At 35.6% G+C, this 18,993-nt stretch overlaps 1 long non-coding RNA gene across 1 annotated transcript in view; it reads right to left on the minus strand.

Moving 5' to 3' along the window:
* Positions 1 to 18,993, minus strand: part of LOC107984371 (uncharacterized) — a 63,332-nt gene that overhangs the window by 33,340 nt on the left and 10,999 nt on the right. The window lies entirely within an intron of this gene.

Consider the following 18,993-nt stretch of genomic DNA (forward strand, 5'->3'; position numbering starts at 1 on the left):
TACCTGGGTGACCTCCTCACCTCCTACAGAATTTTGGTCAAATGTCTTTTCTCAGAGACTACTTCCTGTCAATGCTTCCTAAATTAGAAGTAGATTTGCCAACCATTCCGATTTGCCTCAGAGTATCCCAATTTTAGGATTAAAAGTTTCACACCCCAGTAACAACCTCGGTTCCAGGCAAACCATGAGAGTTGGTCACTTTAATAGCACTCACCCTCATTCATCCATCCATCAGCTATCCACTTTCACTTTTTTCTTTTTTTCAGTAGCACATTTCACCATTTTGTGTACCAAATATTTATTTGCCTATCCCATTCTGTTATTGTAGTTTCCACAAAAGTAGAGCTTTTAGTATGTTTTGTCTACTTTTGTATTCCCTGCAGCTGAGAATAGTGCCTGTAATACACCTTAACGATTTGAAATATTATTTTAAATGAATAAACAGGTAATTGAATAAAAGAAGAAATAGTTCCCATAATTCCCTGTGTTTGGTTAAATTAGATTAATTAGACTTATCTTCCTTGCAACCAAATACTCTCAGATTCTACCAACCTCCTTTGTTTGGAGCCAGAATCTAAATTTGTTCTTATGTCTGTGCTATCAGTGCTGAACTTCTCTGGACCAAATATCTCTTTAGCTTTGGTTCAGTTTATCTTTGACCCCCTTCTCTATGAAGAGATTTCCCATTGCACAACCAAGACCTGAGCAATTACATGGCAGTGAATAGATAAGCCTTACTCAAATAAACGGGAAAGAGAGAGAGACCATTAAAGGATGATTGTGTCCCCCCAGATTCATATGCTGGAGTCCTAGCCCCCAATACCTCAGAATGTGACTGTCTTTGGAGATAGGACCTTTAAGAGATAATTATGGTAAAATGAGGTCATATGAGTAGGCTATAATCCAATGTGACTAGTGTCCTTATAAGAAGGGGAGTTTGGTCACAGACTCAAAGATACCTATATGAAGACAACAGAAAGGAATGACCATCTATAAGCCAAGAAGGGAGTCCTCAGTAGAAACCAACCTGGTTGACACCTTGATATCAAACATCCAGAAATGTGAAAACATGAAATTCGGTTGTTGAAGCCACCCAGTCTATGATACTTTGTTTTAGCAGCCATTGTAAACCAATACAGGTACTCAACTGGAAACAGTGGCTTGGAAGAAACTTAGGTATATAGGTTCTAAAAGTAGAAAATCCAAGGCTAAATCTTACCAGTGATATTTTCACACTATGATACACAAAAGTCTCCAGATATATTTAAAGCACAGTTTGGCTAGTAGAATAAGAGATCTGACATCTCAAGAATTGGTCCAAGTCCTGGTTTTGTGTTTTCATAACCCTTCAGAGCCAATAATCTACTTTAATCATTATTTCTTTTTCATTCATTTTATCACAATAGTGAAGTAACATTACCAATGTTCAGAGTTGTTGAGACTATCAGATATGGCACATAATGAAAAAAGGCTTAACATAAATATTGAAAGCAACTATAACAATAATAGGTACCAATATATGAATTTTTTAAATTGTTGATTTAAGTGTCATTTAATTTCTATGACAGTGTTTGATTAATAACCATTGTGATGCTTTAATAAATAATTTGTTTCATTTGAAAGCATCTAAATTAGTTCTACTCAGGCATTATCTCCAGCTTCCCACTCATTAATAATAGGATAAGTATTTAAATGTTTTATTATACACCTAGTAAATTAACTCACCTGTAAGTGTGCAGCAATCTGAATGTATAGGATAGAAAATCAACGGAACAGAGTTCTCATGGTTATACCTAGCCAGGTCAGATCTAATTTTATGAAAGCCAATTGTGAATTTAAGCTTCTTCAATGGACTTAAACATACATTCCTACTTTCCCCCGGGTTTACATTGATGTCCAGTTGTTATTGTACTAATTTTACATAAATAAAAAACTAAAAAACAGAAGGGTTTAGTCATTTGTGTACCAAGGACTTACTGTTAGAACCTAAATCCCAGGTTTGTTCTATTCTTCCTTTACCAATGGAATCATTCTAAAAAATCTTTGCTTTGGAATTTTCTTTCAGACTCTCTATATTTTTCCACTGATATTTTATTGCATCATTTTTTCTCTTTATCTCATCTGTCTTGTATTACTCCTTTAAATTCCAACATTTGCTTCTATTATTTAATTCATGCTAAGTGGATGAGAGGAAAGGCTTTAATAATACATAAAAAAGATCTGAAATGCAGAAGTGTGGAAGGTAAGAGAAAGGAATAACCTGACATTTGCCAGATATTAAATTATATTCTTTACATGTGTTACATCACCTTTACTTCCAAAAGAACCACAGAGTAGGTGTCATTTTCATCAACTTGTTCTTGCTGCCTCTCAGAAAGTAGGCTTCTGAGAAGTTAAAAAGTAGTAAGAGATGAAACAGCCATTTCTATCAGGTCAGGGTGACTCCTAAGACTATATTCTCCCCACTACACTAAGCCCGCCCTCGAGTAAAATGTTACTACATCACACCTATCCTAGTCTCTTGTGTGCTTCCTTTGGCAGCATGTACCCTCCTAGGAATTCCTTTCTAAGCCTTTAAGTCTTTCCAAGTCAACATTCTTTCAGAAGAGATTAGTTACTCAGGGCTCCTCCATGTTCCCTTCTCTCTAATCTCCCCTGCTGAGGTCTCTGAAGTTAGTATCACACATGCGAATGTTTCCACCAGTAAACCTTTTATCTCTTTTGATCTGTGGCATCAGATCTTTGGGGCATGCCTTGTGGACCCATTCAACTATCCCCCCACAGTGTAAAAGAACCATTTATATCAGTTTCTTTCTCCTCTTCTTAGCTTTATAAACAGCTCTATGCTCTTAATTTAAAAATATGTATTAACACCTTAGGTTACTTAATTATCGTTCTTATCTCTACTTTCCAGTCAGCCCTAAAGCTCCTTAAAGCATCGGTATTACCTGACCCCAAATAAATCATTGGTTTGTAAAATGTGAGGCTGTATTTTTAACTATTTTCCAATTTTGTCCACGGATTCCATTATTCTATTCTGCAAATGTAATTTAAATTGTTTTACATCTCTTTAACCTAAATGTATCCAGTTATCTCCTTCTTCATTCATCATACTCAAAAGAGGTTTTTAAAAAAGTGGCAAAAACAGGAAGAAATACAACTTGCCAAATAACACTAGTGTTTCCTTTCTACAGAGAAATTCATTTAGTGCATTCAACTTCCAGAGATAAGTGAAACAACAGTTTTGGCCTTAAGGAGTTCAAATCTATTATGCAAAACAAATCATTACACAGAATATGGAGAGGAAATCGAATGGCTATCATAGACAAGTTGCTTTAGGAGCACATTGGGGAAACAGATAACTTTGCCCAGATCACTTTTATGAGACTTCACATAAATTATGACTTTAGTACAGTCATTAAAGATAAAATAAGAAGCAGAGAGGAAGTCAGAAAAAGGTGATTTACTAAGATTCATTTGGGATATAACACAAGTTTTCTGTTGGATGAGAGGAAGTACAAGGTTTGGATTCAAAGAGATGGAATTCCAGATCACTTAATTACTGTACAACCTGTGAATATTTTGAAAAACTACTTAATCTCTACACCATGATTTCCTCATTTTAAAAAGAGTGATTCTTTCTACTTTGAGTTGATTAATATTAATCAGGGAAATATGTATTAAGGTTTCAATATATAGTGGTATTCATCCAAAGATAGAGTTCTTCCTCCAGGACCAAATGCAATGAACAGCTCCCCTGGAATATAGGAGCCCCAAAGTGAGAAATCATGCAGAGCCAAGTCTTCTGTGCACTAATACTGCAGTGTGAGTGGCAGAGCAAGAGTCCATGGGCAAAGATTGGGAATCTGGACTCTTTCCTTAGCTGATTGAATTTGGGCAAGTTATTCATCTCCTCTAAACCCTGTTTCTCATTTATAAAGTATGAATCTCCACGGAATTGTCATGGTTATTATTATGAGAGAACACACACACACACACACACACACACACACACAGATATACATAAATTCAAGCACAAAGAAATACTTTTCCCTACCTACAAATGTTCTCTATCTTTTCACTACGTGACCTTAGTTTCCCTTTTGTATAGTTGCAGTAATAAACTTCTCTCCTTTTCAGTACTTCACCCAGCCTTTCCTTATGTATGCAGACAAATTTTTGAGGAACGCTTTCTTTGGCCGATGGTCTTCTAGGTTCCACTTGCTCACCATTTATGTTTGATCCTCCTATCTATTTGAACTACCAACTAATTTATCACACATGCTGCCGTTACACTGAAATAAGATCATCAGGGCAAGAACTTTGTACACCTTCGTTGCATTCTATAAATCAACATCTTAGTTTAGTATCCCAAATAAAAAGTTACATATGGATTTTTTAGGGCAAAATGAACATATAGTCACATGTAGTTTTTATTTGAATTTGTTTCTAGACTTTACCTACTGTTACTTGGTACAATTTGTTCAAAGCATGTCTGAATAAATAATATTCTAAAAATTCACTATTTAAACATGTGCAAGTCTTCCTTTGAGCTGAATTCTCCAATTGTAATTCTCCAATTGTAATATTAGGATAATGATACCATGAGGTCCTCAAAGTTAGGGGCTATGCCTCCTATATATTTATATTATCATAACCCAGAAGATCATAGATGAATATTAGGCAATATATATGGAGGCAAAATAACATTTTCTGAATTACTTATACACATCTAGGGGTTGTCCTGTAGTTTAAATAAAAAAAAACACTAACATTAATTTAAAATTTCAAAATAACCACTATTGTAAGTAGTTTACATATGTTGTGTCAAACATTAAATAAATGTTTGAAATAATACTATTATTATCACCTTTTTATAAGTTAAAAATACTTTAAAATCATATAGTGATTTTCCCAAGATTCCACTGTTAGCACCAGAGTCAAGATCTAAACCAAAAACTGACACGAAAGAAGCTACAAAATTTAATGATGATGCTAAATGGCAAATGAGATAATAAAACTAAATTATTAATGCCCAAATTTAGAGCTCCATCCCAGACTTCTCCCCAGAATTTCAGATTTACATATTGACTCATCATTTCCACTTGGATATTTAAAATACATCTCAAAATAATATGTCCCAAAGTGAACCCTTGCCATTACCACATTCACATCAGCTCCTCCTCTGGTGAATAACATTCCAATCCCCCCATTGTTGAGGTGGAAAATGTGGATTTGTCACTTTCCTCTCTCATCCTATATTCAAGTCATCAGTTACTCCAAATAGCTTTACCTTCAAAATATTTCCTTATTTTGATTACTTTGCATGCTTTTACCACTATTGCCCTAGTCCAATCTACCTTTTTTATAACCTATTGCCATAGTTTTCTGGTCTTTTTGCTTTTTCCCTTGCTTCCCTGCACTATATTATCAATTAAATAAAGATCCCATCAAATTAGAAATTAATACCCTCACTAATTCCATACTAAGGGATACCATGAAGCATTAAAAAGGAATGAAAATATCTCTATATACTGAAAAGAAATAATTTCCAAGATATAGGGTTAAGTGAGAAAAGTAAAGTACAGACCAGTATTTATAGTATTATGAAGGTGGCATGGATATTTGTATGTGCTTGCTTCAATTTCAAAAAGAACAATTGATGTATAAATGAACAAAAAGTTACCCAAAGAAAGACCAGAGATCAGGATGGAAATATCAGAGATAGATAGAAACAAAATTGCTCTAAATATACTTTGTTATATTTATTTGACTTCGGAAAAATCTAAATGTTGCACAATTTCAAAATTAAAATTGGATCAAAGATTTTAAAAAGCAATCTGTAGGAGAGAAAATAGAAATCAATGAACCTAACTATCAAATTGGTGACACAATTACATAAAAAATAATTTTCCAAGTGACCTCAAAACACAGTACTTTGTCTATACACAGTATTTTGGATATACTTGCAAAGTGAAGTATATCCAAAGGACAAACAGAGATGGAAGGAAATCTCAAGTTTAACTCAGTGGTCTCATTTGGAGTATTAATATTAGAATTTTTATAACTATTTTAAACATTATAGGATAAAGAAAAGTAGACAGTATTTATATAATTTAGAAAAATTAATTTCTAGTTAAGAGGAAAGAGTTGTAAGTCTAAAATAAGTAAGGTAGAAATAAACTATTTTACCTTTATTTTGATACAACAGTATGAATTCTGATTTTTTTCTCTCCAAAGATGTATTCTCTAATTCTAGCTACTGAAAATACCAATAAGCAAAAATGAAGCCACAGCAATGAATATATCTGCTGTCTTGACAGTGGTTTCTACCATTTCTCAGTAATAGAACTCAGCTTGTTGGGAGAGTTGACTAATTCCTAGATGGGGTAGGAAATGTATAAGATGCGAAGAAGCACTTTGTTGTGCTAGAAAGTAAACAAGCTCAAAGATAAGTAAGGTTATGTTAAAAAGACAAGAGTCAAACTAAAGGGATTCCCAGACAAAAGCGAACATTTTGAACACCAAAAACAGTAATGAATACAATAGATTGAAGCATACTGAATATATAAAATCGACGAATTCATATTAATATTCCAAAGAGACAGATACATATATTTGTTTTATATGTATGTATGTGTGTGTGTGTGTGTGTGTGTGTGTGTGTGTGTGTATAGAGAGAGAGAGAGAGACAGAGAGAAAGAGAGAAATATCATTGCTAGTAAATAGGAAACAAATTTCTTCCTCTGAAAATTCTCATTCAAGAAAAAGGCTTCAGTATTTATCTTGTCTTTCTCATGCAAAGCGTATTTAAGAGAAAAATAACACTTGATATTTAGAGAAAATTATTTTACACATAATTCCTGCTGATAAATACGGAAAGAATGACAGGATTCGAAAATTGCCATTTAGTAAATCCTAAGGAAATAATTGATTCGGGCAAAAATTATCAATGAATAAGATGAGCTGTCGATGGAGGATTTTACAATGAAGAAATCAGACTGTCACCCTAGAACACACAGACCAATCATAGGCTCACTAATATTGGGCAACCAGACACTCTGTGTCTCCTACTGTGATTTAATCTGTACTATAAAGCCTTTTTCTTTTGAAAAACATCTAATCAAGACCTCCTAGCTAATTTCTAGTATACACAAATACAGACAAAGAAGCAACAATTCAAGGGATATCACCAAAAGTAAACAGAAAAATCCTGCATATGGGACAAGATGCATTTAAAAAATCAACGACATGTTGAAGATATGATGGTGGAGGGGAGAAAGACACTTTCAAACTAAAAGATACGTAAAAGAAATAATAATTGAATACAGTGTGTGTAACAAGTTTGAAACTTCAGTTCAATGTGGTAACATACTGTGTTTAAAAGAGAAATCTGAATATGGACCAAGTAGTATGTAACGCTAAGGAAAGATTCATTGTGTTGAGTGGAATAATGACTGTGTCTATGTAAGAAAATGTCTATAATTTTTGAAGTTACAGTTTCAGCAAGTAGTAGTGATATGAGATCTGGGATTTTCATTTCAACAAAAACAAGGTAGGGTGCGGTGGCTCACACCTGGAATCCCGGCACTTTGGGAGGCCAAGGCAGGTGGATCACTTGAGCCCAGAAGTTCAAGACCAGCCTGGGCAACATAGCGAAACCCTGTCTCTGCAAAAATCACAAAAATTAGCCGGGTTTAGTGGTACATGCCTGTAGTCCCTGCTACTTGGGAGGCTGAGGTAGGAGGATTGTTTGAGCCCAGGAGGTCGAGGTTATAGTGAGCCATGGTCACATCACTGCACTCCAGCCTGGGTGATAAAGCAAGACCCTGTCTCGAAATAATAATAATATATTAAAAAATGAAAACAATAAAAAATAAATATATAAAAATAACACAAAACCTGGGATGGATAAATTGTGAGCATGGTAAATTTTTAATAATTATTAAATGTGTGTGATGGGTATATGTGTGTTTATCATACTATTCTCTCCACTTCTGTGCATGTTTGAATATTTTCATATAAAATGCATAAAAATTCTAGAATATTAAATATTAGATGCTATCATCTACTTGCTCAAAACTCTCTGATAACTTTGTGTTAGGATAAAAAGGAAATCCCACGTTCTTACTAGGCGTTGTATAATCTGGCCCTTGACTTCCTTTCTCACCTTCTCTCTCACACTCCTTCACTGATTCTCCCTCCTCCAGCCACTCTGGTCTCCTCGTTTATCTTCAAACAATTACCCACGGATTCATCTTTTTCATGCTTTCCTTTCTTAAACGCTCTTCTCTTAGTGTATTGTTGATTCCACTTGATTCTGACCTTTATTCCAAAATCACCTCCTCAGTGCCCTGTCTCAGTTGTCTTTCCAAAACAAACGTTGTATCAAGCAATTATTTTGTATTTACTTAACAGCACCTAGATTAATCCGTTTTTCTAGCCACCCCATGGTCTGGAACTGCATACATTGCAGGTGCTACATACATATTAATTGAATTAATATGTGGATTTAAAAATATGCCAAATGCTATTATATCATCAAATAAGAAGGAATAAGAAGGAATGATTGTTTCTTAACAATGATGAACTCTGGGTAATAATGTTTGAAAGGTTTCTCTGTCTGGGACAAAGAACTATGCTATAAATAGGCTTTGCTCAAATCAGAATTTGACTTTTGAGGACAACCTTTAATTTTACCTGGCATTATTTACTATTTGTTCATTCAAAACTGGTCACATCAGGAGGGCATTCTGCTTCTAATATTTACATTTTACGTCTTTTGAAAGGCAGAGAAACTGACATTTAAATAAGTTTAAATGAAATTGATAGCACTTATTTTTTTCCAAATAAGGTACACAGGATTTGAAAGCAGATTCCCAGAGACCCTAGTTCTATTTTGCTCCTTGTTTCTTTCTTTCTGTTTTTCATTGTCCTTCAGCTCCAAGGAGTGATGTTGCTGCTTCTTTTAAAAGGCACCTAATCACTAACCAGATTTTCAGTACTGACGTGGTTAGGAATAGAAAAGGTGACACATTTTTGCCTGCAAAATAACAATGGCTCCCATTCAAGGAACCAGGTTAATGTCCTGAAAAATGGACATTGCATATTCTTGGGGTTTTGGGTATTCTAATATAAGCAACATTCTGATTTAAAAGCGAACATATATTTTAAACAAAGTGAATAGCAACTTTTTGAGCCCTAGAATCAGTGCATGTCCCTAGATGCACACCATTCAAAGGGCTGCAGTTATCTATGTCAAGGCAGCTGGGAAACTGGACCTGCAACATATAGTGTTCTTTCCAAAATGAAAAGATATTATAATAAAAATTGTGTGTGGCATTTAGAAGTTCTTCTTAAGTAACCTAATGATTCTTGAAATAGATAGATCAGAAAGCTCAAGTAACGATGAATGCACAAACATGATCTCTTAGCTTCAACTGCTTGTAAGGCCTGGTATTCCATACAGCATTATGATTGCTTTGCATTTCTCATCATTTGTCACACGCCCTATAAATCAATAGAAGAGATTTTCTGTAACAGGGGTTAAGAAACTTGCTCTCACCGATTGAATTACTCTATGAGAATCTATTCTTAAGCTATTATAAAACCAAGTTAATAACATTGACTAAATGACAACTGAATATGAGGCAACTTTGTGATTCGTATTATTATAACCCATTTTCTTTTGGGAAAAATGCTTCTCAGCTCCTTTTATATATTCTCTGAGAAGATAATACATTTTCTCAAATTAAAATGAATGAAAGATGTAGCTGTGACACTTCTTTCTCATTTTTTTAAATTAAATTGCCATATTGCTAAAGTTCTAATTCCCTTTAATTAAGTAACCATTAAAAAAATTGAAGTTGACTATTCAAAAAATTCTAGCAGTTGTAAAACTGGTTCTTTAATCTAGAGATCAGCTCTAATGGCCACATCATTACCATCATTTGTATTAATTTGCCATTTAAAATTAGAGGAATGTCCACTAAAGTTAAGTTCTGAGTAACACAGACCCTCCTTTATCTGCTACTGTGAAAGTGACAGTTGGAATTGCAAAGAGATTGTCAATTTTTTTCTTTGAAAGCAGTTAGCATATGGTGCCCAAAGATTTTTATGGATTTTGGTCTCATCAAAAGTAGCACCAAAGTTACAAAAATATTTATTGGTCCACAAATAAATGTCTGTCTGTGATGACGCCAGTCAGCTTACCTGCCACAATTACCTAAAATCTGTTGACAACCAATCTGTGGACTAGCATGGCCTACTCCTACAGCCGTTCAAGGCCACCTCATTCCTTGTAAATATAACCAAAGAGGATGCACAAAAGGTTCAGAGTCCTCCGCAACATTAGGCTCTGTCTGGCAATAGTTAGAGATTGGAGAAAGGAAAGACACCTAGTGTTTCATCAAAGTCTTGATTTCTCTTCTTTTGTATAACTTTATTCAGAAACAGATAAGCAAATTATTTAGTATGGATTATATAGCTGCATGGAAAAGACAGATTTTCAAATTCACTTTTATTGATTGTCAGTAGGTCAGGAGTTTTAAAATGGATTTACATGAATGTCTGCTGAAATGGATGACAGAGAGAGACCCTATCACCCATCATGGACTGATACAGGATTGCTGCTTGTAATGAATTGAGGGGATTTCCTTTCTCGTGTTCTAATATGTATTAATATTTCATATATAAAATCTAATGTAGTACTGTGTAAGAGCTGGCTTTTAGAGTCAGACTGAGTTTGAATAGTGGTTCTACTACTTTCTTTTTTTTCCAAGTAAAAATTTTTTTATTCTTTTATTTTTTATTTATTTTTATTTTTTATTTTTTTTGAGATGGAGTCTCGCTCTGTCACCCATGGTGGAGTGCAGTGGCGCGATCGCGGTTCACTGCAAGCTCCACTTCCAGGGTTCATGCCATTCTCCTGCCTCAGCCTCCCAAGTAGCTGGGACCACAGGCGCCCGCCACCACGCCCTGCTAATTTTTGTATTTTTAGTAGAGACGGGGTTTCACTGCGTTAGCCAGGATGGTCTCGATCTCCTGACCTTCTGATCCACCCATCTTGGCCTCCCAAAGTGCTGGGATTACAGGCGTGAGCCACCGTGCCTGGCCTTTTTAAAATTTTTTTTAATTTTATTATTATTGTACTTTAAGTTTTAGGGTACATGTGCACAACGTACAGGTTTGTTACATATGTATACATGTGCCATATTGGTGTGCTGCACCGATTAACTCGTCATTTAACATTAGGTATATCTCCTAATACTATCCCTCCCGCCCACCCCACAACAGTCCCTGGTGTGGCCATCATTAAAAAGTCAGGAAACAACAGGTGCTGGAGAGGATGTGGAGAAATAGGAACACTTTTACACTGTTGGTGGGACTGTAAACTAGTTCAACCATTGTGGAAGTCAGTGTGGCGATTCCTCAGGGATCTAGAATTAGAAATACCATTTGACCCAGCCATCCCATTACTAGGTATATACCCAAAGGTTCTACTGCTTTCTAGTGGTGTGTCTTAGGCCCTAACATCTCCAAGCTCTAAGTTTTCTCATTTGCAAAATGGGCATTGTAAAAGTGCAAATAACTGTATATGATTGTTGCAGAAATTAAATAAATTCATATAAATCTGTTAGCACAATAGTATATAATTGCTTAATAAAATGGAGCTGCTTGTTCTTTGTATATATAAAATATATCTGAGAAAAACATATTTCATCTATATTTATTCACATATTTTTCTAATAGGTGGAAGGTGAGAAGAAATCCTGCCTTATTATCAAAAAGAAGTCCCATGCATTCTCCTCCATAATGTCTTCATCAACTATCCCAGGGAGAAACAAGCAATTATTGCATCTGCAAGAATTCTTAGATAGGATATGTCACCTTTTTTTCTGGTAATACTTCACCTCTTTTACTTATAGTTATGAGTCTCAGGGATATAGACCTTACTCTCACCTCCAGCAGTGGTTTAAGGGTAAATAAAACAAACTGAACATGAGATCTACCTTCTTACATTTGTAAGTGCATGACACATTATTATTGACTGTAAGTACTATATTGTACAGGGTGATCTCTGGAGCTTGCTCACTGTTGCTTAAAAATATATGCCTGCTGATTAGTCATGCCCATTTAGTCCTTTTCCTGACCCTGATAACCATCATTTCACTTTTTGATTCTATGATTTTTGACTATCTTAGATACCTCATATAAGTGGAATTACACCATCTTTGTCTTTCTATGACCAGCCTATTTTACTTAAAATGTCTTCAAGTTTCATTCATGTTGTCACAAATAGTATTCACAATCTTTATCCATTCATCTGTCGAGGGACATTTAGGTTGTTTACACATCTTGATTATTGTGAGTATGCTGCAGTCAACATTGGAATGCTGCAATAAACATAAGGATCTTTTTCGAGATCCTGATTTAATTCTGTTGCATAAATATCCAGAGATAGGATTGCTGGATCACATGGAGTTCTATTTTTAATTTTTAAAGGGACCTATATACTGTGTTCCATAGTAACTACACCATTTTACACTTCCACCAGACATGTTCAATGATTCCAAATTCTTCACATCCTTGCCAACATTTGTTTTTTGTTTTTTTGTTTGTTTTTTTTTTTTTGATAATAGCCATCCAGACAGGCTTGAAGTAATATCTCATTGTGGTTTTAACTTGCATTTCATTACTGACATTGAGCAAAAATTTTGTTTACTGTTTGGCCATTTGTATGTCTTTTTTGGAGAAACGTCTATTCAAGCCCTTAGCCCATTTTTTTTATTCATCATTAATTTTATTTACTATTTAGTTGTAGAAGCTCCTTATATGTTTCACTCAGATTAATCCCTTATAAAATAGGTAGTTTGTAAATATTTGCTTCCATTTGTAGGTTACCTTTTTATTCTGTTGAATGTTTCCCTTGCTGTGCAGAGCTTTTTAGTTTGATAGAGACATTTATTTTTGTTTTTGTTGCCTGTGTTTTCAGTGTCATATCCCTGAAGCTATTGCTAATACCAATATAGTAAAGATTTCCCCTGTGTTTTCTTCTAGGAGTTTTATACTTTTGGTCTTTAACATATGGTGAGATGATTTGAGTGCTAATGTTATTTAGGGTAACCCATTCCCCCTACTTACACATGAATCAAAAGTGACCACACGACCCATTTTCTGAAACCTGTAAGGAAATTTCCTTTGCTTCTAACATAGAATCATATGAAGAAATAAGTCCTTATTTTTCTAGATGGTGGTCTAGCCATCAAACTTGGGACCATCTTGCTCTTAGCCTGAGAATAAAGATAACTCTGAGGACATTGCACAAAGATGTTTGTGTTAATTCGGTTCATCTGGCCTAGGTGTGCTCACTGACTGATGTCAAGAGGATTCATAGTGAATCAGTAGCCAATTATTATACGCTCAAATTCACAGATTTTTGCAAAGCCTTCACACACCACAAATCATCAATTAATATTGAACACACAGTCGGTAATAAAAAAGGGGCTAACAAACTACAGTGATGGCTCAGGGGACCAGCATGCCAACAGAAGCGTCAAGTGTGACAAGAAATTCTTCAGACACCGATCGACAGGGGAGTCATTTCTTCCAGAACCTCTGGTGGCAGATGCCAAGTTGGGAGAAGATTTCAAAGTTCTCAGGGTCAGAGACTCCAAAGGGGTCTCAGACAGGATCAGTTCCTCCTTGCTGCTTTTAGGATTCTCTGCAGTTGTGTATATTCTCATTATCTTAGCCACTTTTCTGGATTTACTTTCTATCGGTTGTTTCAGGTCTTCTGTGGGACTGGGCAACAGCAGATGTTATCTTCTCATTTTGGTGCATTACATATGTGTTTACTGCTATGAAGGGTAAACAACTTCACTGTGGGCCTAATGCCTCTTGATATGAGTGACTCCATTTTGAGATATTAAGATCACAACTCATTGTGATATACTAAAGATTAAAATAAACAGGGTATTTAATGACATAAATAGGCTACTTGATATATCTGTCCTGGACCTCACCCTATCAAAGATAATGTGTCTCCTTACAATTTGTGTCCATTTCAGCTAGACTTTCTATTCTAATTTAAATATTAGTCATTTGGCACTTATCATATGCTGTCTTACATCTTTTTATTTATAACTTCTACCCCCCTCCATCCTAACTGCCACCATCACTAGATTGTAAAATCTTTGGGAAAACAAATTGGCATGATAAATACATATAGGCTTAGAAGTTGAATAGGTCTGGGTAAATATCTCCTCTCCACCACTTTTACGATGTAAAATCTTGAAAATGTTATATAAGCTTTCTAAGCCTCAGTTTTTTCATCTCTAAATTAGAAGGAAATAATATTCAGTAAACAAAGCTTTGTGAGCACTAGATGATGCAAAGGTAAAATGCCTACTAGTGTTTGGTCCTGAATTGGCACTGAAAAAAATAGCACTTCTGTTTTGCCTCTCCCTTACAATTTTCACTTTTCCTTGCCTCCATCCTTGTAGATACTCAAATGTGCCTTGCAGCTACCACTGTTGTTTCTAATTTTTACATAGAGTAGGACTGCAATAATTGCACTACTAATTTCAGAGCAACGTTCTGTGTGATATGTGAAGCTTCCTATCAACTAGGCCAATGTGGTCCAGAGTAAGAATTCAGTTTCAAACATCTCAAAACGTCATGTTCAGTTTTCTCGTTGCTTCTGAATCCTCCTAGCAATTAAGACCCAGTTTCCATAATTTCTCCTTGGTGGAAATTTTTTCAGCTCCTTAATTCACAATTCTCTTGCCTGCCTTGGAATTCTGGAGTGGCTACATTTCCAGTTACATACAACCTAGCAACTGTTGTCTCAGTTAATTAGATATTTCTTAACATGTGCACAGCTTAAATTCACAATTAGAAAAGTTTGAAGATGCATTTTCACTTTGCTTTTTATTTCCTGATTATATTTAGTACCAATGGATTATTTACTCAGCAATAATTGTTATGTGTATAGAATGTTGCTGTTATCCTGTATTACACACTGAACTTCCTGTGTGGAAAGCAAGTTGGTAGAGTTGTTACTATTTAGTAAATGAAACCATTGAGACAATAAGCAACTTCTACATGGTTATACGTCTAACTAGAATCCCAGGTGTTCACCTGGGAACTTGGTGTTCTTGATAATGCATAGGCTAAGCTGCACACATACCACATTCCTACGCATCCTTTGTTCCCACCCCAAGAAGCGTAACAGAATGCAAGAATGATGTTGAATCAATTCTAATTATTTTCAGCCAACAATTCATAAACTGTAGTACTGTATTCCTAACAAATTACTTATGACTTACCTTACAAGTGACTTCAACATTGCAATGTCTCACTGCACCTGTTTTGAAAACCACTGGTCTAGAAAGTATCAGCAAGAGACATGTATTTATGTCATGAGTTGGAAGGAGGTGCTAATTTCTGCCATCTGGAAGGCCACGCATTACTTTCCTTACTTTGCCATTCTTGGCATTCCTTTTTTTTTTTTTTTTTGAGTGATTATTTGAAAGCCAGTTATCCAGTGATAAGAATAGTCTGAAGGTCCATGTTAGATTATAGGGGAATACAATGATAATCAAATTTAAGCAGTTTTTGATCAAAAATCCCTCTTGATGTAATAAGCATAAAATTTGCTCCAGCTCAGCAGAGGATTTTGCTTATCTTAATAATGCAAGGTCTTTATTGCATTATTTTCTATTCACAATTAGAAAAGTTTGAAGATGCATTTTCACTTTGCTTTTTATTTCCTGATTATATTTATACCAACGGATTATTTACTCAGCAATAATTGTTATGTGTATAGAATGTTGCTGTTATCCTGTATTACACACTGAACTTCCTGTGTGGAAAGCAAGTTGGTAGAGTTGTTACTATTTAGTAAATGAAAACATTGAGACAATAAGCAACTTCTACATGGTTATACGTCTAACTAGAATCCCAGGTGATGAACAGAGGACCCACCTCCACACGGGCTTTCATGGTTCCCGCAGCATAGGCAGAGGACAGGGCATGTTGCACAATGACTCTTCATGCTTCTGCATGTGTAACAGCCACAGTGCTGCTCACATTGCATAGGCTAAAGCAAGTCATGTGGATTCACCTAATATCAAAGTTCCATGGAGGTTCAGTTATACATATGAGTGGAAGGAAACTCTAGTATTGTGAACATCCCTAATGAATATCTGGAAGGCATGCTTAGTATCAATACCACTCCTGTTAAAAGTTGTACAGATGACAAGAGGGACAATATCCCTTGTACAGATGACAAGAGGGACAATATAAAGGTGATAATCATAACCAATAGCCTTGGCTATGATAATATAAAATATTCGGCACATATATATGTGCGCATATATATATATATATATATATATAAAATATATGTATTTCTACCTCCTGACTAGGCCATGCCTATAATCCCAGCACTTTAGGAGGCCAAAGTGGGTATATCACTAGAGCTCAGGAGTTTGAGACCAGCCTGGGAAACATGGCGAAACCCCATCTCTACCAAAAAAAAAAAAAAATAGACAGGTGTGGTGGCACATGCTTGTAGTCCCAGCTACTTGAGGGGCTGAGGCAGGAGCATTGTTTGAACCCTGGAGGTTGAGGATACAGTAGGCTGAGACCACGCCACTGTACTCTAGCCTGGGTGACAAAGTGAGACCCTGTCTCAAAAAAAAAAAAAATATATATATATATATATATATACCTTTTGTTAGATACTTTATCAGACATACATTCACGTGTGTGCATGCATACACACACACAATCTTTAGTTGCTCTATGGTCCCTTATAAATTGCAACTTTATCTCACTCATTTTACATCCTTTCTATTTCACTCAGTATTTGTAACTACAACAACTTTCTTTCAGTTTCTTGGGCATACTCAGCTACTTTTTACTTTAGAGACTTTACATATTATGTGTTCTCAGAATGCTTTTTACAAACACATTTATCTAACTGGTCACTGTTCATTCTTCAAGGACAAACTTTGTGTTGTTTTCTGTAGATTCCTTTAGCTTCTAAAACTAGATTATGTTGCTCTGTTTAACATTTTTATTGAAACCTGTTTTTTTCATAGCACCCATTATAACTGTTATTATGTGAGTATCCAACATTCTGTCTCTTCCTACACTTTAAAAAAATGTACCACAGCAAGTCAATATCTAGTAAAATACATAGCACAAAATTACATGCTAAATAATTAACTGAACTAAGATTTCTTGGCCACCCATGAGTACTACATCTTGTGGAGTAAAATCCAATATAGATCTTTGTTCTCTACCCCTTCCCCTACTTTTGGGTGTTTTGAAGAAACCATCTATGCAATTAGAACCAGCTCTTTGGAGGTACTAAAGGCTAAGCTTCCTCTTGAACCTGGTGACAGGAATTTCAGGTGATTAGGGCTTTATATTGCATTTCGCGAGAATAACTTTCAAATGATTTATATTCTCAAGCTCTCAGAATAGACACAACAGGATTACATTTCCCTGTTCTTTTTTCACTCTCCTGATGTTTGGCAAATGATTCGGCATATCACCATAACTACCAACTCCCCTGTCTCTTTCTTGGCTAGGCGCTGAGCTGTGTTCACTTTAAAATCTAATCCCAGGATTTATAAGTCCCTGACCTCTTCATACACATTTCATTCTGCTGATCTCACAAAATCCGGTTTGGGATGGGTTGCTTGGCTCCTTGATTTTCTTCTCTGGAGAATGTCCTTGTTACACTGTAACTCCCAAACCTGAGTATGGACAGCTTGGAATCTGTGCTTCCCTCTAAATTCTAAATTTATTGTGCAAATCGGTATGCTAAACAAATTCAAATATAGCAATGTGGTGAGCCTTCATTAGCTAGCACAGGACAGACCGTACTTCTTCCCTGCTTCCTCTGAAAAATGCAGAGGAGAACTAAATTTAATGTGCAATGTTCCTGGCATCGATTTCCCATCTAGCCTACTTCCCTCGTCCATTTTGTTTCTTTGCTGTTTTACCTAATGCCACTAAATTAATTTTCCTTGGGTTGAATTTGTTAACCCAATCACAAACAATAAAGAACAGAAATTTGCCTATGCATACAGATTAGGTAATGCAAACCTCTCATTGTCCTGAAAGTCCAAAATCTAACCTAGCACCACAAGTCCCCAATTACAATGCCTGTTTACCTCTGACAACATAGACCTTGCTTAAAGTGTGTAGTTCACTGCTCAGTTCTTCTCTAAAGTCCACATTCCTTTCTCTGTCACTGGTTTGGTTTTCTCCTCTGGTCCTGCCTATTTATTGCGGCCATGGCTCAAGAGAGAAAATCGTAAACTCAAATGTTAATTTATTCATTTAATATGAGAAAAAATGCAACTTGTGGAAAACATCCATCTATTTCCACTTTGGAGAAATACCTGCCCGGCAGCCAGGACCTCTCCCTGGTCGGGGTGTAGAGAGCCTGCAAATCTATGACTCTGTGGCTCCCCTTCATATGAGCTCCGTGAGGGCTGTAACTACATTCCTTTAGTTTCATTATAGCTAAACGTTACTCTGGCTAAGCATATATAATTTTTAAAGTGACTCACATATAATAACTGATATTTGTTTTTATAGTTTACTTTCTTTGAACTATATTAGTTTTTTGACCTTTCAGATTCTTATATGGGTAGGTGAGGGCTGAAGTGAGAATACATGGGGATAAAACTGACAGCTTCTGGGTATTTTACTTTCCTCTTTGTATTGGTTTTCTTAGAACGTCTATCCACTCCGTCCTATATTATTGTAATAGCCTCCTAAACTACAGTGACCTTCTATATTAGTTCATTTTCACACTGCTATAAAGAAATATGTGAGACTGGATAATTTATAGAGGAAAGAGGTTTAATTGACTCACAGTTTCGCATTGCTGGGGAGGCCTCAGTAAACTTATAGTCATAATGGAAGGAGAAGCAAGCACCGTCTTCACAGGGCTGCAAGAGAAAGAGT

The sequence above is a fragment of the Homo sapiens genome, chromosome 11 (genome assembly GCF_000001405.40).
Source record: "Homo sapiens chromosome 11, GRCh38.p14 Primary Assembly".
Classification (NCBI taxonomy): Eukaryota; Metazoa; Chordata; class Mammalia; order Primates; family Hominidae; genus Homo; species Homo sapiens.